The 26,677-nt window shown below is 50.0% G+C and overlaps 1 protein-coding gene across 15 annotated transcripts in view, besides 8 other annotated features; it reads left to right on the forward strand.

The window, feature by feature from the left end:
• Positions 2,582 to 3,091: a silencer, noted in NCBI's record as "silent region_17880". NCBI's record gives its function as "represses an Ori minimal core promoter by ATAC-STARR-seq in GM12878 lymphoblastoid cells {active_cell/tissue: GM12878}" and the evidence as "EXISTENCE:reporter gene assay evidence [ECO:0000049][PMID:35858748]".
• IQCE (IQ motif containing E) overlaps positions 2,700 to 26,677 on the forward strand; it is a 55,750-nt gene continuing 31,772 nt past the window's right edge. For 2 of the 15 annotated variants that reach the window (XM_017011902.2, XM_047420081.1), the window contains exons 1-9: positions 2,700 to 2,938; positions 10,746 to 10,884; positions 12,675 to 12,720; positions 15,247 to 15,375; positions 15,913 to 16,047; positions 17,139 to 17,209; positions 21,963 to 22,076; positions 22,197 to 22,247; positions 26,301 to 26,371. In XM_017011902.2, coding sequence (XP_016867391.1) covers positions 10,780 to 10,884; positions 12,675 to 12,720; positions 15,247 to 15,375; positions 15,913 to 16,047; positions 17,139 to 17,209; positions 21,963 to 22,076; positions 22,197 to 22,247; positions 26,301 to 26,371 — 722 coding nt within the window. In that variant the 5' untranslated portion in view covers positions 2,700 to 2,938; positions 10,746 to 10,779. Of the gene's footprint in view, positions 2,939 to 3,135; positions 3,242 to 10,745; positions 10,885 to 12,674; positions 12,721 to 15,246; positions 15,376 to 15,912; positions 16,048 to 17,138; positions 17,210 to 21,962; positions 22,077 to 22,196; positions 22,248 to 25,662; positions 25,799 to 26,300; positions 26,372 to 26,677 lie in introns of those variants that run through there. The other 13 variants (NM_152558.5, NM_001287499.2, XM_017011903.2 and 10 more) reach the window with 9 other exon arrangements.
• Positions 3,312 to 3,381: a silencer, noted in NCBI's record as "silent region_17881". NCBI's record gives its function as "represses an Ori minimal core promoter by ATAC-STARR-seq in GM12878 lymphoblastoid cells {active_cell/tissue: GM12878}" and the evidence as "EXISTENCE:reporter gene assay evidence [ECO:0000049][PMID:35858748]".
• Positions 10,273 to 10,452: an enhancer, noted in NCBI's record as "active region_25536". NCBI's record gives its function as "activates an Ori minimal core promoter by ATAC-STARR-seq in GM12878 lymphoblastoid cells {active_cell/tissue: GM12878}" and the evidence as "EXISTENCE:reporter gene assay evidence [ECO:0000049][PMID:35858748]".
• Positions 10,564 to 11,166: an enhancer, noted in NCBI's record as "H3K4me1 hESC enhancer chr7:2606477-2607079 (GRCh37/hg19 assembly coordinates)". NCBI's record gives its function as "activates a minimal SCP1, AML or CMV promoter by ChIP-STARR-seq in naive H9 embryonic stem cells {active_cell/tissue: H9 hESC(naive)}" and the evidence as "EXISTENCE:reporter gene assay evidence [ECO:0000049][PMID:30033119]".
• Positions 10,733 to 10,782: an enhancer, noted in NCBI's record as "active region_25537". NCBI's record gives its function as "activates an Ori minimal core promoter by ATAC-STARR-seq in GM12878 lymphoblastoid cells {active_cell/tissue: GM12878}" and the evidence as "EXISTENCE:reporter gene assay evidence [ECO:0000049][PMID:35858748]".
• Positions 10,983 to 11,152: an enhancer, noted in NCBI's record as "active region_25538". NCBI's record gives its function as "activates an Ori minimal core promoter by ATAC-STARR-seq in GM12878 lymphoblastoid cells {active_cell/tissue: GM12878}" and the evidence as "EXISTENCE:reporter gene assay evidence [ECO:0000049][PMID:35858748]".
• Positions 11,167 to 11,768: an enhancer, noted in NCBI's record as "H3K4me1 hESC enhancer chr7:2607080-2607681 (GRCh37/hg19 assembly coordinates)". NCBI's record gives its function as "activates a minimal SCP1, AML or CMV promoter by ChIP-STARR-seq in naive H9 embryonic stem cells {active_cell/tissue: H9 hESC(naive)}" and the evidence as "EXISTENCE:reporter gene assay evidence [ECO:0000049][PMID:30033119]".
• Positions 15,373 to 16,572: an enhancer, noted in NCBI's record as "CDK7 strongly-dependent group 2 enhancer chr7:2611286-2612485 (GRCh37/hg19 assembly coordinates)". NCBI's record gives its function as "activates an origin of replication core promoter dependent on BRD2, BRD4, P300/CBP, MED14 and CDK7 cofactors, with strong dependence on CDK7, by STARR-seq in HCT116 cells {active_cell/tissue: HCT116}" and the evidence as "EXISTENCE:reporter gene assay evidence [ECO:0000049][PMID:35650434]".

The following is a 26,677-nucleotide window of genomic DNA, read 5'->3' on the forward strand; positions in this document are numbered from 1 at the left end:
GTAATCCCAAGTACTCGGGAGACTGAGGCAGGAGAATCTCTTGAACCTGGGAGGCGGAAGTTGCAGTGAGCCAAGATGGTGCCACTGCACTCCAGCCTGGGCTACAGGGCGAGACTCCGTCTCAAAAAAAAAAAAAGAAAATCAGCCAGACCTGGTAGCATGCGCCTGTGGTCCCAGCTACTCCAGAGGCTGAGGCGGGAGGATCGCTTGAGCCCAGAAGTTCAAGGCTGCAGTGAGCTATGATCCTGCCCCGGCACTCCAGCCTGGGCAACAGAGCAAGACCCTGTGTTTTAAGAAAGCAAACAGGCAGAAAAACTAGGTCCAAAAAATTGAGTTCAAAACACTAACTGTGTGTTCGAGAGTCTCAAAGCCAGTGGATAGACAAGGCTCATGTTCCCAAAGCATTGTTTTATAGCAAGATTGTTGGGAGCCAACACCAGATTTAGGAAACAAAGCAGAATTCCTATGGATATTAAAATTTAAAAATTTAAAAGCACTGACTTTGCTGGGTCACCTTTATTTTATTTATTTATTTATGGAGACGGAGTGTCACTCTTTTTGCCCAGACTGGAGTGCAATGGCTCAATCTTGACTCACTGCAACCTCCACCTCCTGGGTTCAAGCGATTCTCCTGCCTCAGCCTCCCGAGTAGCTGGGATTACAGGTGCGGGCCACCACGCCCAGCTAATTTTGTATTTTTAGTAGAGACGGGGTTTCACCATGTTGGCCAGGCTGGTCTCGAACTCCTGACTTTAGGTGATCCGCCCACCTAGGCCTCCCAAAGTGCTGGGACTACCAGCGTGAGCCAACGCGCCCAGCCGTGCTGGGTAACCTTGGAAAAGCAACTTCCCTGACGCTTGCATGCCCCCTGCACACACACACACACGTACATCCTTAGAACTACATGTGTGAAAAAGTTTGAAATGCACAGTTATCTTCCCTGAAATTTGGTTCCTCATTGTGAAATGAGATACTAACATTCACCCAGTTAGGTAATTGTGGAGTAAAGAAAACTCAACAACAGCACTGTGCTAAGTGCTTCACTTACTGTAAACTTGTATGATTCTACAGCAACGGTAGGAGAGTACCACTACCAGCCCATCAGATGAGGAAAATGAGGCACAGAGAGGCTAACTCATAAGGCCTTACAGCTACTGGATTGGCACAGTTTGGATTTGAACCCAAGCAGTCTGGCTCCAGATTTGAATATTGTATTGCACAGGTCCACAATTTTTTTTTTTTTTGAGGTGGAGTCTCGCTCTGATGTCCAGGCTGGAGTGCAGTGGTGTGATCTCAGCTCACTGCAACCTCCACCTCCCAGGTTCAAGCAATTCTCCTGTCTCAGCCTCCTGAGTAGCTGAGACTACAGGCACCCACGACCCCTGGCTAATTTTTGTATTTTTAGTAGAGACAGAGTTTCACCATATTGGTCAGGCTGGTCTCAAACTCCTGACCTCAAGTGATCCACCCACCCTAGACTCCCAAAGTGCTGGGATTACAGGCGTGAGCCACCATCGTGCCTGGCCCAGGTCCACAATTTCTTATCTCAAACTTTTGGGGACAAATGTTTTTTCAGAATTCAGAACTGTTCAGATTTTAGAAATGTGACATGGCACATGTACATTAAATATGAGATTACAGCAGAGTGTGACACACACCCCATAATTAAACGTATTAATAGTTATTCAGGGCCGGGTGCAGTGGCTCACGCCTGTAATCCCAGCACTTTGGGAGGTGGAGGCGGGCGGATCACGAGATCAAGAGAGCGAGACCATCCTTGTCAAGGTGGTGAAACCCGTCTCTACTAAAAATACAAAAATTAGCTGGGCGTGGTGGCACGCACCTGTAGTCCCAGCTACTCGGGTAGCTGAGGCAGGAGAATCGCTTGAACCCAGGAGGCAAAGGTTGCAGTGAGCGGAGATCGCACCACTGCACTCCAGCCTGGGCCACAGAGCAAGACTCCGTCAAAAAAAAAAAAAAAAGAAGTTATTCAGTGAAACTCACTCATGTACACCCCGTGGGATAAATAAGCACTATAAATAGCCTCAGCTCAGAGTTTTCCTCCCGGAGAGTTGAGGTTAGGACTGGTCTGGCCTTCAAATGAGTTGTGAAGGGCTTTCGGAAGTTTGTGGAATTCAGAATCACAGATAAAAGGTCGTAGATAGGCGCTGGCTCTATAATTAGATAAGAGAAGGGCAAAAAGTTTGCGAAGCCCAAGGGTGGGAGAGTGGCAAGAGGTACTTATGCACAGGGAGCACGTAGAGCAAAGCGCCCTGGGTGAGACCCTGAAAGCAAACGAAAGTTTATTATGTGTGTTTGTTTGATTGAGACAGGGTCTTGCTCTGTCGCCCAGGCTGGACTGTAGTGGTGCAATCATAGCTCACTGCAGCCTCGACCTCCTGGGCTCCAAGCGATCCTCCCACCTCAGCCTCCCGAGGAGCTGGGACTATAGGCGTGCACCAGCATGCCTGGCTTTTATTTTTATTTTATTTTTCGAGAGACGGGGTCTCGCTACATTGCCCAGGCTGGTATCAAACTCCTGGGCTCAATTGAATCTCCTGCCTTAGGCTCCCATAGTGTTGGGATTACAGACGCGAGCCACTGCGCCGGGCCGGTTTTTTTCCCCCTCTCAGCCCCCGCGCTCCGCCCCGGGAACTCCGGGAGCGCTCCTGGTCGGCCGGCCGGCGCCCGCGGACTCTGCGCACGCGCATGGTCGCCCCAGGGGGAACGCAGGTCGCTTACCCGGCTGGGTAGGTCGGCGGCCTGGTTGCCATGGCAGCGGGGTCGCGGGCCGGCGCCAGGGAAGGCCCCGAGGCTGCGGGCGGCCAGGGCTGCCCGCGGATTCCCAGACCCGGACGCCCGAGCCAGCAACCCTGAGGGGCGGCCGGGCAGCGCCGCCACCATGTTCCTGGGCACCGGGGAGCCGGCCTTGGACACGGTAAGAACGGGCGAGGGGGCGACGCCGGGCGGGCGTCCGCGAGGCCTCGGCTCGTCTCCGTCGCCCGCAGCCTCGGGGCCCCGCGCAGGGGCCGGCCCGGGGCGTGAGGACGGGGCGCACGGCCGGGTGACAGCTGCCATTATTGTTACCGCACAAGAGCGCGCTGCAGGCCCCGCGCCGCCTGCAGCCTCGCCCGCGCCCGCTTTCGCAGAGGCCGCCGCTTCCAGGAAGCTCTCCGGGACGCCGCGCCCTCGCCTCTGGGCGCCTGCGAGTCTGCGGCCCGCAGGTGACGGAGCTCACGGTGTAAGTGCCTCCGGGCACCCCCGATCTAAGGCGGGATCCACGGATCCCGTGTGGCCCCAAGCCTTCGGGGTGGGAGGGAGGCAGCCCCAGGGTCTGGGAACCCAGCTTGGTCAGAGGAGGCTTCCTGGAGGAGGGTGGGGCCCGATGTACTCCCCAGGGCGAGGGTGCATGAGCCTTAGGTTAGTTACTTTGCCCGGTAAATATCTACTGTGTGTTAGAGACACGGGAATAAGCTGCATTCCAGTGGGGGGGGGGGGGGGGGCGGAGGGACAAGGTAATAAACAGGTAATTAAGATCGTGTCAGAAAGTGAGAAGTGCTGTGCAGAAAATGAAACAGGCCCATATGGCCGGGAGCCGTGGCTCAGGCCGGTAGTCCCCCGGTAGTCCCTGCACTCTGGGAAGCCGAGATGGGAGGATCGCTTGAGGCCAAGAGTTCCAGACCAGCCTGGGCAACATCGCAAGACCCCATCTCTACAAAAAACCATCACATTAGCCGAGCTGTGGTGGTGCCTGCCTGTAGTCCCAACTACTCAGGAGGCTGAGGTGGGAGGATCGCTTGAGCCCAGGAGGTGGAAGCTACAGTGAACTGTGATCATGGCCCTCCAAGGCCTGAGAGACAGAGTGAGGCTGAGGTGGGAGGATCGCTTGAGCCCAGGAGGTGGAGGCTACAGTGAACTGTGATCATATCACGGCCCTCCAGCCTGGGCAACAGAGTGAGGCCCTGTCTCAAAAAAAAAGAAAGCCCGTTGGGACGCGGGCAAGGAGACTGAGCAGAAGATGGGCATGAGCCTGACTATGGGGAGTCCTGCTGGCCATGCAGGGAATTTGGATTTTATTGGAGAAACAGAGGAAGCCTTTGGAAGGTTTCACATCAAGGGAACTGTGCTCACCTTGCTTCCTCCTAAGGAGACCACAGGGTTCAGCACAGCTGCACCCGCAGTAGGGGCTTGGTGCTGCTGGCCAACTTGGAGCAGCTGAAGTTGCCTGCTTGTTCCCCAGGGCACCACGTCCTGTCTCATCTGGAGGGCCTGCCTGTCTACACTGGCCTTCAGTTACTGCTTCTTCATCTTTAAGAACAAAACTGCTTGTTGTGATTATAAAAATAATTTATGTATATTATTTATTTTTTATTATTTTTTTAAGACAGAGTCTCTTGGCCGGGCACGGCGGCTCATGCCTGTAATCCCAGCACTTTGGGAGGCTGAGGTGGGCAGATCATGAGGTCAGGAGATCGAGACCATGCTGGCTAACACAGTGAAACCCCATCTCTACTACAAATACAAAAAATTAGCCGGGCGTGGTGGCGGGCGCCTGTAGTCCCAGCTACTTGGGAGGCTGAGGCAGGAGAATGGCGTGAACCCAGGAGGTGGAGCTTGCAGCGAGCCAAGATCGTGCCACTGCACTCCAGCCTGGCAGCAGAGTGAGACTCTGTCTCAAAAAAAAAAAAAAAAAAAAAAGACACAGTCTCGCTTTGCCACCCAGGCTGGAGTGCAATGATGCCATCTCAGATCACTGCAGTCTCTGCCTCCCAGGTTCAAAGGATTCTCCTGCCTCAGCCTCCTCAGTAGCTGGGACTACAGGCGCCTGCCACCACACCCAGCTAATTTTTCTATTTTTAGTAGAGGTGGGGTTTCACCATGTTGGCCAGGCTGGTCTCTAACTCCTGACCTCAGGTTATCTACCTGCCTTGGCCTCCCAAAGTGCTGGGATTACAGGCGTGAGCCATTGCTCCCAGCCCTATGTAGATCTTTGATTTCTTTCAGCAATGGTTTATATTTTTCAATGTACAAAGCCTATGCTTTTGTTAAATTTATTCCTAAGTATTTTATGCTTTTTGATGTTATTGTATATTGAATTTTCTTAATTTCATTTCAGCTTATTTACTGCTAATATATACAATAATTTTTTTTTTTTTTTTGAGATGGAGTCTTGCTCTGTTGCCCAGGCTGGAGTGCAGTGGCGCGATCTCGGCTCACTGCAAGCTCCGCCTCCCGGGTTCATAGCATTCTCCTGCCTCAGCCTCCCGAGTAGCTGAGACTACAGGCGCCCGCCACCATGCCCGGCTAATTTTTTTGTATTTTTGGTAGACACGGGGTTTCACCTTGTTAGCCAGGATGGTCTCGATCTCCTGACCTCGTGATGCACCCGCCTTGGCCTCCCAAAGTGCTGGGATTACTGGCCTGAGCCACCACGTCCGGCCTTACAATAATATTTTTATATGAATCTCATATCCTGCAAACTTGCTGAACTCATTTATTATGTTTACTAGTTTTTTAGTAGATTCATTAGGATTTTCTATGTATAAAATCATGTTGTCTGTGAATAGAGATAGTTTTACTTCCTTCTTTTCAATCTGAATGTCTTTTATTTACTTTTCTCACATTAATGTCCTGGCAAAAGACTCAAGTATAATTTGAATTGAAGTGATGAGAAAGGACAGCCTTGTCTTGCTGCTGCTATTAGAAGGGAAACATTCCGTCTTCCTCTGTTAAATATTGTGTTGCCCTGGATTTTTGTAGATGCCATTTATTAGGCTGAGGAAATTCTCTTCATAGATTATTGAGTATCTTTATCATGAATGAGTGTTAGATTTTGTCAAACATACCTTCTGTATCTTTTGAGAAAATCATATGTTTCTTTTTCTTCATTTTATTAATATGGAATATTGACTGATTTTTGTATGTTAAACCAATCTTTCATTCTTGGTCTTGGGGTGTGTGTGTGTGTGTGTGCACATAAATATATACCAGTACCAATTAGGGTACATATATATATATATATAAAATCCTTTTCATGCCTACTAGCATTTTGTTGAGGATTTTTGCAACTGTATTCATAAAGAATGTTGGTCTGTAGTGTTCTTTTCTTGTGATATTTCTTTGTCTGCTTTTGGTATCAGTGTAATATAGGTCTCATAGAATGAATTGGGAAGCATTTCCTTCTTTTCTGTTTTTTAGAAGGGTTTGTGAAGCATTGGTATTAATTTCTCTTTAAATGTTTGATAGAATTCACCAGCGAGACCATGTGGTTCTGGGTGTTTCTTTACTTCTATAAGGTCAGTAGTGAGGCCCCCTTTTTTTTTTTTTCCCCCTGTATTTTGGTAATTTCGTGTCTCTGGGTTTTTTTTCTTGGCTAAAGGTTTGTCAGTTTTGTTGATCTTTTCAAAGAACCAACTTTTGGTTTCATTGATTTTTCTATTGTTTCTATTTTCTATTTCATTTATTCACTGTAATTTTTATTCCTTTCTTTTACTTCCTTTGAGTTTAGTTTTCTATCTCCTGGTTCTGAAGGTGAAAGTTTAGATTATTGGATTATTGCCTTGAGATCTTTCTTTCTTTTTTTTTTTTAATATAGGCATTTACAGCTACAAATTGCCCTCTAAACATGGCTTTTGTGTTTTTGATTATTTGTTTTTGTTTTTCAGAGACAGAACCTCACTCTGTTGTCGATGCTAGAGAGCAGTGGCACAATCACAGCTCCCTGCAGCCTCATACTCCTGGGCTTGAGTGATCCTCCTGCCTCGGCCTCCCAAGTAGCTGGGACTACAGGCGTGTGCCACCATGCCTGGCGAATTTTTTAATTTTTTGTCAACACTGGGTGTCACTATGTCACCCAGGCTGGTCTCGAACTTCTGGGCTCAAGCAGTCCTCACTCCTTGGCCTCCCAAAGTGTTGGGATTACAGGCATGAGCAGGTGCTCAGCTTGCTTTTGTTTCTTTGCGCCTGGAGTGCAGTGGTGCGATCATGGCTCACTGCAGCCTCAACTTCCCGGACCCAGGTGATTCTCCCACCTCAGTCTCCTGTGTAGTTGGGACCACAGACATGTGCCATGATGCCCAGCTAATTAATTTTTTGTTGTGTGTGTGTGTGTGTGTGTGTGTGTGTGTGTGTGTACAGGGTTTCTCCATATTGCCCAGGCTGGTTTTGAACTCCTGGGCTTTGAGTCCCAAAGTGCCGGGATTACAGGTGTGAGCCACCACGCCCGGCCCTGCTTTTGTTTTTTAAGGTGGAAGATTAGGTTATTTATTTGATGTGATCTTTTTAAAATATAGACATTTACAGCTGTATGTTTCTCTTTGAGCCCTGCTTTAGGTACATCCCATAAATTTTGATTTTTAAAATTCACTCACTTTCGGAGGCCGAGGCGGGCGGATCACGAGGTCAGGAGATCGAGACCATCCTGGCTAACACAGTGAAACCCCGTCTCTACTAAAAATACAAAAAATTAGCCGGGCGTGGTGGCAGGCGCCTGTATTCCCAGTTACTTGGGAGGCTGAGGCAGGAGAATGGTGTGAACCCGGGAGGCGGAGCTTGCAGTGAGCCGAGATTGCGCCACTGCCCTCCAGCCTGGGTGAGAGAGCGAGACTCCATCTCAAAAAAAAAAAAAAAAAAAAAAATTTCACTCATCAGCCGGGCACAGTGGTTCACGCCTGTAATCCCAGCACTTTGGGAGGCTGAGGTGGGCGGATCATGAGGTCAGGAGTTCAAGACCAGCCTGGCCAACATAGTGAAACCCTGTCTCCACTAAAAATACAAAAAAAAATTAGCCTGACATGGTGGTGCACACCTGTAGTCCCAGCTACTGAGGAGGCTGAGGCAGGAGAATTGCTTTAAGCTGGGAGGCGGAGGTTGTGGTGAGCCAAGATCATGCTATTGCACCCCAGCCTGGGCAACAGAGCAAGACTCCACCTCAAAAAAACAAAAAATTTCACTCATCTAAGATATTTTTAAATTTCCCTTGTGATTTCGTCTTAGACCCATTGATTATTTAGGAATTTGTTGTTTAATATCCAGGCCAGGCACAGTGACTCACACCTATAGCCCCAGCACTTTGGGAGGCTGAGGCGGGTGGATCACCTGAGGTCAGGAGTTTGAGACCAGCCTGGCCAACATAGTGAATATAACCCCATTTCTACTAAAAATACAACAATTATCCGGGCGTGGTGGCGGCACCTGTAATCCCAGCTACTCAGGAGGCTGAGGCAGGAGAATCGCTTGTACCCGGGAGGTGGAGGTGGCAGTGAGCCGAGATTGTGTCACTGCACTCCAGCCTGGGCGACAAGGCGAGATTCTGTCTCAAAAAAAAAAAAATCTATACATTTGTGAATTCCTTTCTTTTGTTGATTTCTAGTTTTCCTTGTTGTAGAAGAATATACTTTGAATGATTTTCTCTTTTAATTCATTGAGGCTTTTTTGTGGCCTATGGTCTGGTTTATGTTTAATGTACACTTGAGTAGAATGTGTATTGTGCTGTTGTTGAGTGGGGTGTTCTGTAAATGTCTGTTAGGTTTTTAGTGTCTGCTGATCAAGTTTTTCTAACTCCTCGTTGATCTTCTGCCTCGCTCTCCTGTCTGTTAGGAGCCTGGCCCTGCCAACACCTTGATTCTGGACTTCCAGCCTCCCAAACTGAGACAGTTAATTTCAGTGTGAAACCACCCCATTTCTTCTGTTACAACCACCCTGACACAGGCTGATTGAGCTTAACCTACTGTGGAAATAAGTGGCAACCTCAGATAGTGCTTGAAGGAGGCGGAACAGATTGGCCATTTTGTGTGAGTGCATGTGTGCGTGTGTGTGCGTGTGTGTGTGTGAGTGCATGTGTGCATGTGTGTGAGTGTGTGTGTGTGTGTGTGTGCTGTGTATGGTTGTATTCTGCTGACTGCAGTCATGGATCCTTGGACTGTTGTGTGATTTTAGGTGCGTGCATGAGTGTGTGTGCGTGTGTGTGTGTGCATGCGTGTGTGTGTGTGCGCTGTGTATGATTGTATTCTGCTGACTGGTGTCATGGATCCTTGGGCTGTTGTGTGATTTCCGGTCCTGACTGCGTTTCACCTCTTCCCTGCACTATGACCGGCAGGCTGGAGGCAGCACGGCTGGAAGGGAGTGGTGGAGAGGGCAGCCGTTGTGGGTGAGATCAATGCATTTTGTTTACTACACATAAAATCTCATTCCTTTGTTGAATTTCAGGTCATTCAAAAAGTCTTCAAGATTTTATTCACAGCAAGGAATAATGACAGATGTTTACAGAGAAAGTTGCTGCTGCTTTTCTAGACAGTTTTCAGCAGTTTCCCCTCTGTTCTCTGCAGGCACGTCCTTGTGATGCCCAGGGCTGACTTGGCTTTTCTGATCCCCCGCTAACCTGTGTGTCCAGTTCCCGGCCTGCCCTTCCTCAATTTTGTGCATAATTTCAATACACTTTGCTAAAAGGAAAACTTCTCTCTATAATTGTCATATGCTGTTTATGTCTTAAAAGGTCACCTTAAATAGGTGATATAAAAAATGATATAAAAAATTTCAGTCAATGGCTGATTTTTTTAAACGCTCCATTTATTTGGAATGCACCGTCTTTCCTTTGCCCCTCGAAATGCAGTCACATTGCACTTGTGTCCTGGCCTGTCTAGTTGCACCTTATCCATGTTATCATGCAGCCAGGCATTTCTAATACAGTTTCACACTGCTAGCAAAATTGGCACTTCATGTACTATTAGCCTTGTAGAAAATAAGTTTGCTTTTCAGAACGCAGTAGCATCCCATTATGATACTGCGTGGACTCAGCTATACCAGGGACAGGTAGCACAAATGTCATCACCTCCACCCCAAGCTGTAGAACTATTGGCTCATAATGGGGCATTCAGCTCTAACTTCCAGTGTCCGCATTGGAAAGCACCAATATGATCTTCCGAGGGACTTTAAACATTTTATGCTTCTCTTTTTGGATTTCAATTTGAGTGAATGAGTTAATACAGAAACACTTTTGTCTTCAAAAAGCTTCCTTTTTTTTTTTTTTTGGCCATCCTCGTGCTGAAATCAGACAGTACAAGTCTTATTTCATTCCCTGGACCAGGACAAAGTCACTGGAATAAGAAGGCAAGAACCTTTATAGGCCCAAATGCCTTCTCATTGTAATGCATATGTTTTGGTTTTTGTTGGTTTTCGTTTTTTTTTTTTTTTTTTTTCCCAGCTGGGGTCTTGCTCTGTTGCCCAGGCTGGAGTGCAGTGGCATGATTATGACTCACTGCAGCCTCGACCTCCTAGGCTCAAGCGATCCTCCCACCTTAGCCTCCCGAGTAGCTGGGACTACAGGTGTGTGCAACCACAGCCTGGCTTATTTTTTAAATTTTTAAGATTTTTTTTGTAGAGACAGTGTCTCACCATGTTGCCCAGGCCGAGTTTGCTTTTTAAAAGATGACTCTCACCCGTTCTTACCAGGAGACAGTCACAGATTCGTTGTGCTTTGATGTAAAGATGAATAAGAGTGAGAACATTTATGTAAAAATGAAATGCTTTCAGCAAGAACTGGTTTTGTTTTTCTTTGTCAAGACACAATTCTGTGGGAAATAGTGTTACTAGATTTGCAGACATTTGCACGCCTGCTGGGCGGCGTTTTGTGTTTTGTTCCCCCCACCCACCCATTCCTTCTGATGAGACTGAGGAACTGGCTGCTGCCCAGCTGGAGTGTTCTGAGTGGCCTCAGAGCTGGATTTCTGGAGTTTCTGTTTCAGCAGCTGTGGACGGGCTGTTTTCGCTTTTGTAAACGTGATGGTCGGAAGCCCAGCAGGTGCCGTCGAGTTACAGTGTTTGCCTCTCTTCCTCCAGGGAGATGACAGTCTGTCTGCAGTCACCTTTGACTCTGATGTGGAGACGGTGAGTGCCGCTGGGTGTCAGCCGTGCGACCTCGGGCTGGTTGCGCTGCCCTTGCAGACTGCACTCGGAAGCGTAAAATAGGCCGTTCTCCACAATACTGTGTCGAGAGCTGGAATGCATATTCCGAATGCTCCTTGGTGTTTGAAAAGTTTCCAGCCCTTAGGTTTAAATACCTGTGGTGATAACTTTAAAACTTTTATCTGGACGTGAATCCTGAGCAGGGCTCATGTGAGACAGATTGCTAGTCCCTGGCCTGCAGCTGGTTTTGCCCTGCACCCCACGCCCTCATCCTGACACTTGAGGGGAGGAGGAGAGCCCCTGCTAATGCCGTCGGAAGGACCCGATGGGAGAAAGCAGACCTGGGCAGCCGCCATCCCAAGCTGAACTGCTGCCTGGCCTCCCAGCCCGGAAAGGAGAGGGGCAGGAGTGGTGTCCGATGGCCCAGTGGCACACTATGGCCCCGGACTGGGCTTTGGGTTTGTTTGGCAAGCTGTGCTGGGTAGAAAAGGAAGTGTGCCAATTGCTCTTCTCGTGTATGAGCGAAAAAAGCTTTTCTTACTGGAGACGCAGATCTAGCAAACCTGCAGCCAGCAGAACGAACCCGGCACCAGCAGATCTCAATTCCACGTTTGCTCTGTGGACTCAAGGGGGAGCCTCAGCTCCACTGTCTCCCTCCAGGGACCTCTGTTCGCAAAGTTAAGGATTTTCCCTCCATGTCACAGAGGGCAGGGGATGCTCCTCTGATGTTCCCCGGAGGAGGAGGGATCCAAACCAAGCCCCAGGGAAAATTCCCCCCGCGCAGAACTTGGGGCTCAATGTTTCTGCTGGAGGGGAAGTGAGGAGACCTGGCCGCGGTAGCCTTATCTGCTCGGTCTAGTGCAAGGTGATGAGGAAGTTAAGGTTGGAAGCATGGCAGCATCTTCCCCAGGCCACGGCACGACGGGTTGTGTGTCTCTAATGCAAAATCCAAAATGCTCCAAAAATGGAAACTTTTTGAGCACCCTCATGAGGCCACAAGTGGGAAATTCCACCCTTAAGTACTTCACACAAGCTTTGTTTCATGCACAAAGTTATTAAAAACACAATATAAAATTACCATTGCACTATGGGTATAATGTATATATGAAACATAAATGAATTTTGTGTTTAGACTTGGGTCCCATCCCCAAGATACCTCATTATATGGATGCAAATATTCCCAAATCAGAAACACTCTTGGTCCCAGGCATCTCGGATATGGGACACTCACCCCGTAGTAAGCAGTGGAACCAGATCTGGACCCCGTTCTGTGAGATCTGGACCCCATTGGGTGTTTGGCATCGTGGTTGTCACAGGAGACCACCTTCCAGACAGGGTCTCCCTTTGCTCGGCTTTCTTCCATAGTGGGCTTTGCAGTTGACTTATGTGCAGGGATTCATCTGACCACCTCCACCTGAGTGGACAGAGGTGCGCTGGGCTCCCAGGCTGGCTGTGCGGGCGGTTTGGGTGGGGGCAGATCCGCCATTTGTGTGGGACCCTCAGTCTGAACGTCAGGAGCCCGGGCCCGATGGTTTTCTGTAATTGGAACTTGTGCTCTGAGAGCCCAGCCCTGAGCACTGACGTGAGTGCATTTTTGTGGGGTCTGCATCGGGCCCTGCGTGTCCTGTTCCTGGACCCTCCTTACGTCCCCGTAAGCTCACGTCCTCTTGCTGCTCTTACACGACCCCTGACCCTTTCTGAACATGGTAGGGTCTTGTGATGCACCACTGTGGGAGCTCAGCAAGCCTTATGCCATTTCTTCTTTCTTTCAGAAAGCAAAAAGGAAAGCTTTCCACAAACCTCCACCCACATCGCCAAGTAAGTATGACGAGGCCTGCCTTCCCTCTCACGCCGACGTTCCCTGGTGTCCTGGAGAGAATGAAGGGTATTTGCTTTGTACATTTAGGTAGCTGAGACCTGACGCCTCAGCCAGTTGGCCCCATTCCCACTGGGGTCTCCCAGTTCGCGCTGGAGTCTCCCCCTTTCATGTTGGGGTTCATGCTGGGGTCTCAGGAGCACGTGGAGTCCCTGTTGGTGCCAGAGTGACGAGCCCTTTCTCAGGGCTGAGGCTGCCACCAACTCCCCAGTCTCCCCCGACAGTGCCTCTAGGCCTTTTGTTTTCTTTTTCTTGCTTTCTCAAAGGCTTACCTCTTCTGAATGCTGCCAGAGTTAAAGGATTTTTGACCTGGGATTTGTTCCTGAGAGTCGAAGTTACTGAGAAGGTGTAGTTGGTGGGACGGGTGGCAAGTTCACCTTTTTCCCCTTTGGATCATCCTGGGCTTGTTTTGCTGCCAGGGTTCTATTCTTCCTCACCCTCAGCAGGAGGAGGGCAGCATTTGCCACCCTGCTTGTCCAGGAGGGTGCCGCGGAGGTGGGGTTAGTCCAGGTGGCCCCGAGGCCCCTCTGTCTCTAATGCCGCTCTCGTGTACAGCAGCCCGTGTGCCGACCTTGTGCGTACGAATGTGTTCGTGACCCTGTAAATCCTAGGCCGGCATCCTGTGCTACCCCAAAGCCTGTGGCCTTCCCTGGCTGTGCCATCTGTAGATGTGTGTCTATTTTATATACGCGTATCATATATTTCAAAGGTTCAGTCAAGTATATGACGCACTCAGAGAATATAAACAAACTTTGCTACTAGCCCAAGGAAAACATAATTAGGTAAATCCCTGCACAGAAAAGAATGCATGTTATATGTTACAAATCAATATAAACACTAGAAGGAAATCACCTAGCAATTTGGATTTTTGATGTCCTTTCTCTCCTTCCATGGAGAAAATTGAGAATTGATATAAAGTAAAAGGCCAGGACCGGGGGTGCCTCCTGACTCACACTCGGGACCTGTTTTTCTCCGGGTTTCTAGTTTCGTGAGTGTAGGGACCATGTCTGTCCTGTTCACTCAGCAAGTGTTTTTCTCCAAGGCCTGGTCAACCTGCTTGTAGGTTTGCAGCTCCCACCACGTTCCGAGGCTTTTCATCGTCCTGGTCACTCTGCCAGGAGGGCGAGGCAGGCGATGATGTTTTCCTGCTTTCCGAGTTTGTCGTTTTCCGGGCAGTATCAAACGCTGGCATCTCTCCACCACCCTGTCTCCGTCCTCTCTTCTTCCCTCCCCGCTTTTATCCCCGCTTTCATGCTTTCCTGAGGAACCCTTCCTACTCGCCGATAAGCCCACACACTCTTAGGAGGGAAATGTAATGTGTAGGGCTTTTTTCTGCTCACTCATTTACTTGTATAAATGACAACTTAAATCTTTACGTTTTGGAAGAATTTGAGACTATCTGGGAGGCCAGGTTCTGTGGTCCCGGGTAAGTGAAGATGCAGCAGGGTCCCTGCGTCTTTATTCCCTCATTCACAGTTACGGTGGCGAATTTCACATAAATTGTGAAACCGCGGGAAAAACTTAGAAACTTAAACATTTTGAACATATTAGACTTAAATTTTCAGACCCTACTGACATACATTTTGCAATTTAAGATATATAAGAATGTTTTAAGAGTGCCTTAGTTTTTGCATACGTTTATTATCTTTTTTATACTTAAAGAGGGAAAATCTCAGATAAAGAATTTTAAAACATTTCCCTTACTTTCATACAAAATCAAGAATGCCCTGAAACAGTAAGATTTTTCTCATTTATTTTAGATATTTTACATATTAAGTTCTAAATATTGCTCTGTCACTATGTAGTGACATTAAAAATGTGACATGTTAAAAAGGCACAAAACGATGTGTTCACTGTGGCTGTGAGTGTGTAAGAACACGCACATCTCTCAAAATTGGGGGTGAGAAATTAAATGCTATAATAAATGTTGGTAGAATTCATATATTTCCCATTATATTCTTCCCATTCTTTTCTTTTCTTTTCTTAAGAAAAGCCTGTTACCCAGGCTGGAATGCAGTGGCATGATCATAGCTCACTGTAGCCTCGACCTCCTGGGCTCAAGAGATCCTCCTGCCTCAGCCCCCTTGAGTAGCTGGGACCACAGGTGTGAGCCACCACACCCAGCTAATTTTTAGATTTTTTATAGAGACAGGGTCTTGTTGTATTGCCCAGGCTGGTCTTGAATTCCTGGCCTCAAGCGATTCTCCTGCCTTAGCCTCCCAAGGTATTGGTATTATAGGCATGAGCCACCATGCCTGGCCTCATTATGCTATTTCTTTATAATAAAAGTTAAAGGAGAAATGTCAGTATATAGGTAAAGTAACTCTTTTTTCATTTTTGCCAGAATGTTTGACTAGAGTCACCACGCTCGTGGATTTTGTTTTCCTATTTCTGTCTTTCTGAAGTTCATGTGTTGAGCTCACATGTTGCTGTCCGGCACCTCTGAATCCACGTGTTGGCTTTTCCAGAGTCACCTTATCTCTCTAAGCCGAGAAAAGTGGCCTCCTGGAGGTCCCTCAGGACGGCAGGGAGCATGCCTCTGGGCGGCCGAGCGTCCCTGACCCCGCAGAAGCTGTGGCTGGGAACCGCAAAGCCAGGTATGTGGTTGTCGCACTGGAGACCCTTCCTGCTTGAGAGAAGAGTTCGAGAAATTTCAGGGAGTGGTTTGAGATGGAGTTTTTAATATTCCTTGTTTGAATTACATTGTCTTTAGTTTTCTCGAAGACATCAAATATACACATCGTAGTTTTATGTCATGCATAAATGTGGTTTCGCCAAGTGGCGCTTTAGCCTCCCTTGGTCCCGTGTGGTCTCTACATGGGAGTGGTGAGTTGTCTTGCCAGAGCCAACTGTTATAGTCTTAGGAGTTTGGTGGGCTGGTCAGTGTCATGCTGGCAACCTGATATTAGACATGGTAGAAATATGTATACCGTGGAAATAGGCAAACATTGTAATCAGGACTGTATTAATTGATATTTGGGAGCTGGTTGGTTAACCATTTACCAGCACGACACTGACGGCTGGCGTCTATCAGTGATTCAGCTTTCTTCAATCCAGGAAAGTTGATTAGAAACAAAACCTCCCATTGTGTGTGCTTGTATCTGTCATATTAAACCCATGCACATTCAAACCAGGAAGTCTGACCCAGGCCCTGAACTCACCCCTCACCTGGGAGCATGCGTGGACTGGCGTCCCCGGCGGCACTCCTGACTGTCTGACAGACACCTTCAGAGTGAAGAGGCCACATCTCAGGCGCTCTGCCAGCAACGGTGAGCATGCCGATGGTGGCGAGGCTGAGGCCAAGGAAGAGCAGAAAGGAAAGGACAGTCTCTGGGCTGGAGGCGTCCTTCGTCAGAGCAGGATTTCTGGCTTCGTGCATGAGCTCCGTCACTGGGAGGTTTTGGGAGGTCGTGGGAGCAGTGACTCACACAGTGACTCACAAAAACCCGCCTGCCCCAGAAGGTAGCTTTCCTCGTGGGTGCAGGGATATCTCGCCAGGTGTCATCTGTACCTCCCTCCCTAAACATAGAGGCGTACTTAAATTTATTCATTGAGTAAATGATATTAGGAACAAATACTAATAAATAAATAATGATAAAAAGTCCAAGTCGCACCAAAGAGAATCAGCTTGTTTCTGTGTTTATGTTCCTGCCTAGTCTCTTTTTTTTTAGAGACGGAATCTCGCTGTGTTGCCCAGGCTGGTCTCAAATTCCTGGACTCAAGTGATCCTCTCACCTTGGCCTCCCAGAATCCTGGGATTACAGGCATGAGCCACCGTGCCCGGCCTCTCTCTTTATCCACGTGTTTCCCACCTATCCTCCTTAAGGAAGAACAGCCTCCAGGGTGTATTGAAAACCTCCTCACTGTACTCCAGGAATTGATTACCTTCCTGCTTTTACTGGTTGGGAGTTATCTTTTAGGCTGAAATTTAGATGTTTAATATACTAGGTATCATTAAAACCAAAGTAAGCCTGACTGTTTTTACATTGGAATGGGTGTTGAGATGCTCTGTGCATTTTTTGTGTTTGGTATTTGTTTGTTTTGCTATTTAAATCTGAACATGTCCCTCCTCCTTCCGTGAGTCCCTTCTTTCATCCTTTTACTGTCATGAAACTTGGTCTTCACATGTTTATTTATTTACTTTTTGCTTCATCTCTCTCTATCTACCATTTTTGCTTTTCTTGCTACTTGGTGTGAAGTATCATGATCAGGCTGGAAAACATGGAATTATTTTGGCTTTTTTATTTTCTTCTTTTTTAAAAGGAAATGTTACTAACTTCCAGGTTTTCCTTAAAGTATAGCCAAGAATTCTTTCTACTTTGTAGATAGTCTTTGAAACGATTTGTTTATGTTTCTCTAGGTCATGTCCCTGGGACTCCTGTCTACAGAGAAAAAGAAGATATGTATGACGAGATTATTGAGTTAAAGAAGGTAGTATTTCGGTTTGTTCTCTATTGATTTGAAACGGTGAAAGCTTCCTATAACAATGTATTAGAACATCAGTGCCTGTGCTGGGAGGTGCCCAGATGGGAAGAGCGGGAGCGTTAGGGTCGAACCTGAGTTTGAGCCGTGGCGTAGTGCCCTAGGAGCTGGTGTCCCTGGTTAAAGGCCGTAGCACCAGCACATAAAAGGCAGCAGAGCTCATGTTCCATCCGTGCTCTGCTTCTCCAGCACGATGGAGAAGACTGGATGAGGACTAGATTAGCTTCAGAGTCGCCTTGCGTCCTGAGATTGGGTACTGTGATAAGGTCACTGGTAGAGTCATCAGTAACCTTCCATGCATGCCACGCTTTATGTTATCAAGACATCTCACATGCCCTGTCTCAGGCCCTCTACAGAAGCTCTGTGGGACGGGCAGAACCACTTGTTACAACCACAGTCTGCTGATGAACTTGAGACTCAGCGACGTTAGTGGTCTGTCCAAGGTTAACCAGTAGCAGAACCAAGATTCAAGGTCACCTGCCTCCCAAGGCCAAGACTCTGTACTTCCCCATGGCCCCTCCCATTTATGAAAGCATGAACTGCATTGAGCTGTATCGTCATTGTCACTGCCACCAGCACCGTGACCATCACACTGGCTTTCAGTATCCGTAAATGTTTGCCCCTGGAGAAATCATCTGCGTTCATTTCCTTCCATAATTTTAGTCTGTTTATACAGCTACTGTCTCCACCAGTTGATGTGTGTCTGAGACACTGCGTTCAGTTGGGGCACCAGAGGGCAATAGGGCATTGGCAGCCTCGTCCCCAGAGCACGGAAGAGGATCTGGAAGCCGTTTCCATTGGGGAGCTGGGAAGAAACTGGGGAACCTGGTGTAGACCATTATACAAAAGACAGCGCCTTCTCTGTTGGCCAGAGAGAACAGTCAGACTTGAGGCTGTGTGAGAAGAACGCTCTAACCACGAGAGCTGTCTGACAGAGGCTGCGCTGCTGAGGAGCAAGTGCGCACCCTGGCCATGGAGATTTTGAGCACAGGTGGCAGCTGTGTGTCGGGGATGTTACAGAGGGGATCCTCATTCCGGTTGGAAGACTGCGCTGAATGAACTCAGTGTGGATTGGGGGGATTATCTCGTTTGGGATTTTCTCAGTCTCTTGAATCTATAGGTTTGTCTTTTGTTAAATCTGGGACATTTTCAGTCATCAAGTCTTGAGTTGTTTTTTCAGCCTTGCCCTCTTTGGTTACGGCTGCTCAGGTCCCTTGTCTCTGTTCAGTGTTTTCCCCTCCGTCTTCCCTCGTGAAGATCGGGTAGCTTCACTATTCTGTCCTCGAGCTCACGGATGCTTTCTGCTGGCCTCTGCATCCTGCAGTTGAGCCCGTTGTTTGTTGGGTGTAACCTTACTGTCTCGGTTCAGTTCTGAAATCTCTGTGCGGCTCCTTCTGTCTTGGTCTTCGCTGAGACGCCCACCCTGTGCCTCTTCACTTGTTTCAAGCGTGCCTGTCATTGGTCACTGGCGCATCTTTGTGGCGGCTGCCCTAAGTCTGTGGCGGGATTCCAATGTCCAGGCCATCTCAGTGTTGACATTATGGCTTGTTTTTCTTCATTCAGGTTGAGCTATTCTTGGTTCTTAGTATAAAAAGTGATTTCCTTGAAACCAGGACGCTCTGAGTGTTTCATCGCGAGACTCTGACTCTTGCTCAATCCTGTGTTGTGGCAGGCCTCCTTTCACGCTGCCCTGTAGGTCAAGGGGGTACCACCTCGTTATCACCCGCGAGGGTGGAGGTCCAGTTCCCACTCAGCCATCATCGACACCTGCACCGGGAGGGGCTCCTCATTCCCACTGGGCAGGGTGGGAGTTCAGGCCCCTCACTCAGCCTCTGCTGATGCCGCCCTAGCTAGGAGGGAAGGTGCTGACACCGCCCTAGCTGGGAGGGAAGGGCCACCTGTACTGCTCCTGCTCAGCCTTTGCTGATGCAGGGATGGCCTTGTTGCCGCCAGGTAATGATGGTCCCGACTCTGCCCGACCTCCTCTGGAGCCCCACCAGTGCGGGAGGGGAGGGTACTGGGTGCAGCCGGGCAAGGGTGAGTGTCTGGGCTCCCCACACAGCCTGTGCTGTGGGGAGGACTGTGGTGTTTTCCGTGGTCTGCCTGGGGTAGAGCGGTTCCTGCCTGTCGGTTTCTGCCTTGTCGGTCTGCTCCTCTCCCTGACCTCTGGCTGGAGAGAAGAGGCTTTGCGTGGGTTTTTATGGTCTGCACCCATTGGCTTTTTTAGGCAGTTGGTTTCTCCAGCATCCAGCTCAGATGAGGCAGAAAGAAAACTGAAGGAGCTCCCTGCCGTGTCGATCGCTGGCCCCCCGGCTCCCGGCCCATCCGCCTCCTTCTCCACCTTTCCAGTCTTAGGTTGCATTACACATGGAGCGCAGGTGTTGAGTGGTACTGACAGGAGGAATTGGGAGGAGTGAATCTGCTTCACGCTCTTGGAAGCGGCAGTCCCGTTACTAGAGCTCCCATCTTCCTTGACTGCTGGGCCTTCGCTAATTTACTTCACAAGCTGAGTACCGGCTTGCTATCATGCCTCCTGAATCTGTGGGTTTGTCTGCAACGATCTTGCCAGCTGTGGATGTGGCTGAAGTGCCGAGCCGCCCCCGCGGGGTGTGCATTCCAGATTGTCTTTTGCTCAGAGGTCCAGTCTCTGGAATACCACAGTCTTTTGCAAGGAGAAGGCCGTGTATGAGGATGGCTGGTGGTTAGATGCAGGCTGAGGCTGGGAGCTGGTGAGCTGCGGCACAGCCCAGCCTACACGCTGTTTCTTTCCTGGACTTTACCACGAAAATAGTAGGAAGAACATAATTTCAAAGTACAGGATAGTTGTAGAGATTGAATAAACTTAGTTTTGTGAGAAATCCACTACAGAGTCTTTTTTTTTCTTTTTTTTTGAGACAGAGTCTCACTCTCGTCTAGGCTGGAGTGTAGTGGTGCAGTCTTGGCTTACTGCACCCTGCCCCTCCCAGGTTCAAGCCTCAGCCTCCCAAGTAGCTGGGATTACAGGTGCGTGCCACCACACCTGGCTAATTTTTTGTATTTTTTGTAGAGATGGGGTTTCACCGTGCTGGCCAGGCTGGTCTCGAACTCCTGACCTCGTGATCCACCCACCTCGGCCTCTTAAAGTGCTGGGATTACAGGGGTAAGCCACCGTGCCCGGCCCCGACTACACAGTCTTTTTTGTCCCCACTCACGTCACCACAAATTGGTAAAGAATTTGTCCACAGATAAAGATTGGGAAGCACTGCCTTCCACCTGAGCTGTAACTGAGGATGAGCATTTGAAATGCATGTTAGCCTTGGATGAGTTTTATTGATAAAAATGCGAACAAAACGGACTTTCTTGTGTGGTCATGGGAGAAAACGCGTGGTGCGGCACCGTCCAGCCCCGGTGTTGGCGGTATTCGTTTAGGCGCGCATTCCGTGGGACGGGGTTTCTCATCACGGGTTCCGTTGGTATCTAGGGTGGGACCGTTCTTCTCTGTGGGGGACTTCCTGTCTATCCAGCCTTCCACGTCCCCACCCACTAAATGCCAGGCGTGCCCTCCGGTGCCCTCACGTGACATCCAGATTTCCCCCCACCCACCACACACAGAGCCCTGAGTGGGAGCCACGCAGCTTTCCAAATCCCCCAGCTCAGTGCTTCCCTGGGCCTGTGCGCGGTGTGGTGTGCGTGGCTGTGTGTGGTGTGTGTGCAGTGGTGTGTGCATGGCTGTGTACGTGGGGACGTGTGTGCGGTGTGTGCGCAGTGGCGTGTGCTTGGCTGTGCCCGTGGGGATGTGTGTGCGGCGTATACACATTGGCGTGTGCGTGGCTGTGCGCGCGGGGACGTGTGTGCGGCGTGCGCGCATTGGCGTGTGCATGGCTGTGCGCGCGGGGACGTGTGTGCGGCGTGCACGCATTGGCATGTACTTGGCTGTGCGCGCGGGGACTGTGTGCGGCGTATACGCATTGGCGTGTGCGTGGCTGTGTGTGCGGGGACGTGTGTGCGGCGTGCCCGCATTGGCGTGTGCGTGGCTGTGCGCGCGGGGACGTGTGTGCGGCGTGCCCGCATTGGCGTGTGCGTGGCTGTGCGCGCGGGGACGTGTGTGCGGCGTGCACGCATTGGCGTGTGCTTGGCTGTGCGCGCGGGGACGTGTGTGCGGCGTGCACGCATTGGCGTGTGCGTGGCTGTGCGCGCGGGGACGTGTGTGCGGCGTATACGCATTGGCGTGTGCGTGGCTGTGCGCGCGGGGACCTGTGTGCGGCGTATACGCATTGGCGTGTGCGTGGCTGTGCGCGCGGGGACGTGTGTGCGGCGTGCGCGCATTGGCGTGTGCGTGGCTGTGCGCGCGGGGACGTGTGTGCGGCGTGCCCGCAGTGTCGTGTGCGTGGCTGTGCGCGCGGGGACGTGTGTGCGGCGTGCCCGCAGTGTCGTGTGCGTGGCTGTGCGCGCGGGGACGTGTGTGCGGCGTGTGCGCATTGGCGTGTACTTGGCTGTGCGCGCGGGGACGTGTGTGCGGCGTGTGCGCATTGGCGTGTGCGTGGCTGTGTGCGCGGGGACGTGTGTGCGGCGTGCGCGCAGTGGCGTGTGCGTGGCTGTGCGCGTGGGGACGTGTGTGCGGCGTGCCCGCATTGGCGTGTGCGTGGCTGTGTGCGCGGGGACGTGTGTGCGGCGTGTGCGCAGCTTCGTGTGGATGGCTGTGCATGGCCCTTGTTTTCTTCAGTCATTGCACGTGCAGAAGAGCGACGTGGACCTGATGAGAACGAAGCTCCGGCGCCTGGAGGAGGAAAACAGCAGGAAGGACCGGCAGATAGAGCAGCTCCTGGATCCCAGCCGCGTAAGCTCCTGGCGCTTCACGGACGGGGCAAGGGGAGGGTCCTCGGGGCAGCATCTGCCAGCCAGCCCTGCTGGGGGCTACACCGAAGGCCGTCTTCATGTCTCAATCTGCTTACCACAGGGCACGGATTTTGTTCGGACTCTGGCAGAGAAAAGGCCCGATGCCAGTTGGGTGAGTATGGTGTGTGCAGGACAGAGCCTTTCCCCAGACGCTAGTTACTGGGGACAGCCACAGAGGGACGCCTTTCCCTGCAGCACCCACGCGTGAAGAGCAGCAGGCAGGGGGGAGGCTGCGGACCCCCAAACCCTTCTCCACTGACACCTGGGGACACCACGGGGAGGGGGGCCAGCAGGCTCACCACAGAGGCCAAGCAAGACACTGTAGGAAAAACCCATCACAACGGGCGACTTCCCCCTCACACCTGAGAAAATACATTAAGCTTAACAAGCGCTCCCAGCGCTTTGGGAGGCCGAGGCAGGCAGATCACTTGAGGTCAGGAGTTCGAGACCAGCCTTGCCAACGTTGTGAAACCCTGTCTCTACTAAAAATACAAAAAAGCCGGGTATGGCAGCATGCTCCTGTAGTCCCGGCTACTCAGGAGGCTGAGGCACAAGAATTGCTTGAACCTGTATGGCAGAGGTTGCGGTGAGTTGAGATCGCGCCACTGCACTCCAGCCTGGGTGACCAAAAAAAAAAAAAAAAGGTGCTACAGATGTAAATCAGGGAACCAGGGCAGCAATAACGTCCTTCAGATAGATCCAGACCCCCCTCAGATACTATGTGACAATATGTAAGAAGTTGAATGAAATGGAAGCAGGGAAGATGTTGCGGTTCGGTGGTAATGCTGTGGCGATCAGCTGTAGGTGGCACAGTACACCTCCTAGCAGTCAAGGAAGTACTTCTCTAAAGTGGGACATGGTGGAAGAAAACCGAAAGGGATACGATTTTGAGATTATTGAACGCAAAGAATAAAATAACATTAATGATGTGATTAATGGATTTGATAATGTAAAATTAAAAGTTACATAATAAAAAGCCATGGGACTAAGGTAGCAACCAGATCACTGTAATGGGGGAGGAGAAGGATATTATGGATCAATACAACAAAGTTTTCTGTTTAGAAAATACAAAAAAAACTATAAATCTCTAAAGAAAAAAGGCCGTGTCCTCTGAACTATGTCACAGATATAGAATGTAGAAAGATTGTATAATCATTACATGTTTAAAGTAGATGGTGAAAGCCTAGCTCGGCACCTAGGACGGCACAAAGTAAATCCTTAACAAATGCCTGTAAGTAGTGGGTACTTTTGTAAAGAAAAGGCTCCATGTTTTTGTTGTTCTGGTGGTGTGTGTGTGTGTGTGTGTGTGTGTGTGTGTGTGTGTCTGTGGGTATTTTTTTTTTTCTTGAGACAGGGACTCACTCTGTTGCCCAGGCTGGCGTGCAGTGGCAGGATCATGGCTCACTGCAGCATTCAGCTCACGTGATCCCTGGCTTAGGGGATACTCCCACCTCAACCTCCTGAGTACCCGGGACTACAGGCACGTGCCACCACAGGCAGCTAATTTTTTTTTAGTTTTGGTAAGATGGGGTCTTGCGAAGTTTCCCAGGCTCATGTGATCCTTCTGCCTTGGCCTCCTAAAGTGTTGGGATTACAGGCCTCAGCCACTGCACCTGGCTGAGGTTAGTTTAAAGTAGGAATTCCAGATCCTAGGGTATATGCAGTATTCATTATCATATGGCAAATTGTCCATCAGTGTGGCTGTGCCCTGTGGCCTGCCGTGTCTACGTGTCATCACCTGCCTTCAAGAAACATTTGCAGATGTGCCTGAGGAGGCCTGGCCAAGGATTTCGATTGGAGGATTGACCAGAATCACAAAAATGGGCTACAACTTAAGTATGTGTCAGTAGGCTACAGTGATAGATTTTAGAGCATAGCCAAAAAAAAAAAAAAAGATTTTAAAAGTGTCTATCTGCCGGGCACAGTTCCTCATGCCTGTAATCCCAGCACTTTGGGAGGCTGAGGCAGGTGGATCACCTGAAGTCAGGAGTTCAAGACCAGCCTGGCCAACATGGTGAAGCCCCATCTGTACTAAAAATACAAAAAAATTAGCCAGGTATGATGGCGCGTGCCTGTAATCCCAGCTACTCAGGAGGCTGAGGCAGAAGGATCACTTGAACTTGGGAGGTGGAGGTTGCAGTGAGCTGAGATCGTGCCACTGCACTCCAGCCTGGGCTACAAGAGTGAAACTCTGTCTCAAAAAAAAAAAAGTGTCTATCAATAGAGGCTGGATAGAGATACTGTGGGAAATAGTGTGGATTCACAGGCGCCAGCAGGGACAGAGCACCAGGAGGATTTGTTGAATGTTAGAATAAAAAAAAAGAAAGATGCAGAGGGATGTGTGTGGCAGAGCCCCGTTTCTGTGAGAACAGAGGGCCTGACTCCCTGAATGCACACACACGGCCATGCACAGAACCAGGTGCTGAGGGGCACGCAAGCGGAAACAGGATTTGGTTGGCCGAAGAGGGGAGTGGCCAGGTCAGAGTATTTTAGCCTCTATAACATCATCTTTTTTTTTTGAGACGGAGTCTGCTCCAGCTACTCAGCTACTCCTGAGTAGCTGGGACTACAGGCGCCCGCCACCATGCCCGGCTAATTTTTTGTATTTTTAGTAGAGACGGGGTTTCACCGTGTTAGCCAGGATGGTCTCGATCTCCTGACCTTGTGATCTGCCCACCTTGGCCTGCCAAAGTGCTGGGATTACAGGCATGAGCCACCGCGCCCAGCCCTGTAACATCTTCTTTTTTTAAAGGAAAATGTATTCATCTATGACTAACATAATTTATTTGTTTATGTATTTATTTATTTTGAGACTGAGTCTGGCTCTGTCGCCCAGGCTGCAGTGCAGTGGCGAGATCTCGACTCACTGCACCCTCCACTTCCCATGTTCAAGCGATTCTCCTGCCTCAGCCTCCTGAGTAGTTGGGATTACAAGCACCTACCACCATGCCCGGCTACTTTTTGTATTTTTAGTAGAGATGGGGTTTCACCATGTTGGCCAGGCTGGTCTCAAACTCCTAACCTCAGGCAATCTGGCTGCCTTGGCTTCCCAAAGTGCTGGGATTATAGGCGTGAGCCACTGCACCCGGCCAACTAACATAATTTAAAATGACTTTAAAATCCAATTTAAAAGTTGTCTGTTCAAGCCTGGTGTGGTGGCTCACACGTATAATCCTAGTACTTTGGGAGGCCAAGGCAGGCAGATTGCTTGAGTCCAGGAGTTCAACACCAGTCTGGGCAACATAGTGAAACCCCATCTCTATTTAAAAGTTGTCTATTTAGAAGAAAAGAATGTTCTTTTTTTTTTTTTTTTGAGATGGAGTCTCGCTCTGTCACCCACGCTGGAGTGCAGTGGCGCAATCTCGGCTCACTGCAAGCTCCGCTTCCCGGGTTCATGCCATTCTCCTGCCTCAGCCTCCCGAGTAGCTGGGACTACAGGCGCCCGCCACCGCGCCTGGCTAATTTTTTTTTGTATTTTTAGTAGAGACGGGGTTTCACCTTGTTAGCCAGGATGGTCTTGATCTCCTGACCCCATGATCCACCCGCCTCGGCCTCCCAAAGTGCTGGGATTACAGGCGTGAGCCACCGCGCCCGGCAAAAGAATGTTCTTTAAAGAATATAAGAATATTGTCTCCTCTAAGCAAGACATTCACAGAAAAGGAGGTGAGGAGGCCGCTGGAGCTGTTCTCCCTTCCCCAAATAGAGGGGAGTGGCTCCTCAGGCCCCTACGGCCGCGCTGTCTCCCACCCTCACTCACTGCCCCATGGAGACTGAACTGGGCGGCCCTAGGGGCTTCAGGTCTGTGGTTTATCCAGCTGGTGATGGGGCTGCTTCTTTTATTTAATATAATCAAGGGCACACCCTGCTCTGTCCCCCAGGTGTGCAGTGTGCTTGGGGGAGGGCTGCCAGTCGGTCAGTGTGCCCACGATGGCTGCCACCTCCTGCTCCAGCCGGTGTCGCACCCCTGCCATTCACCCAGCCTTACTCAGGGACAGGACAGCACAGTGGGGCCCTCCCTCTTCCCTGGGCCCGTAGTCTAGAAGAGAGCACAGCGCTGGAGGGAGGAAGGACAGTGAGGTGTGCCGGTGCTCTGGCAGGAGGGGACAGCCGCTTCTACTGAGGGAGAGAGGGCGTGGCCTGCCTGATGGGCACGTTCCCCGGGCAGGTCATTAACGGGCTGAAGCAGAGGATCCTGAAGCTGGAACAGCAGTGCAAGGAGAAGGACGGCACCATCAGGTGGGCGCAGGGCTGCACCCTCTCCCCTGCCTTCCGCCCCGTGTTCTGCTTGCTCAGACGCCCGCCTTTGTTCCTCCCCCACCCCGTCCTGTGTCCCTACTCCCAGCCCAAAGCCGAAGGTGAATGTTAGCTGCCTCTTTTTAATTTTTTTATTGTCTTTGTTTCCTCCAGATAATTCCCTTTAACTTCTTCCTGTTATATTTAAAAGATGCTTTCTCGAAACCTGCTTGTTCTGTGGACCCCTGTATCTTTCCAGGATGAGGTTTTAACGCCTCAGTCCTGCGCCGTCCTTGTGCTGTTTTTGGC

This window comes from Homo sapiens, chromosome 7, assembly GCF_000001405.40.
Source record: "Homo sapiens chromosome 7, GRCh38.p14 Primary Assembly".
NCBI classification, from domain to species: Eukaryota; Metazoa; Chordata; class Mammalia; order Primates; family Hominidae; genus Homo; species Homo sapiens.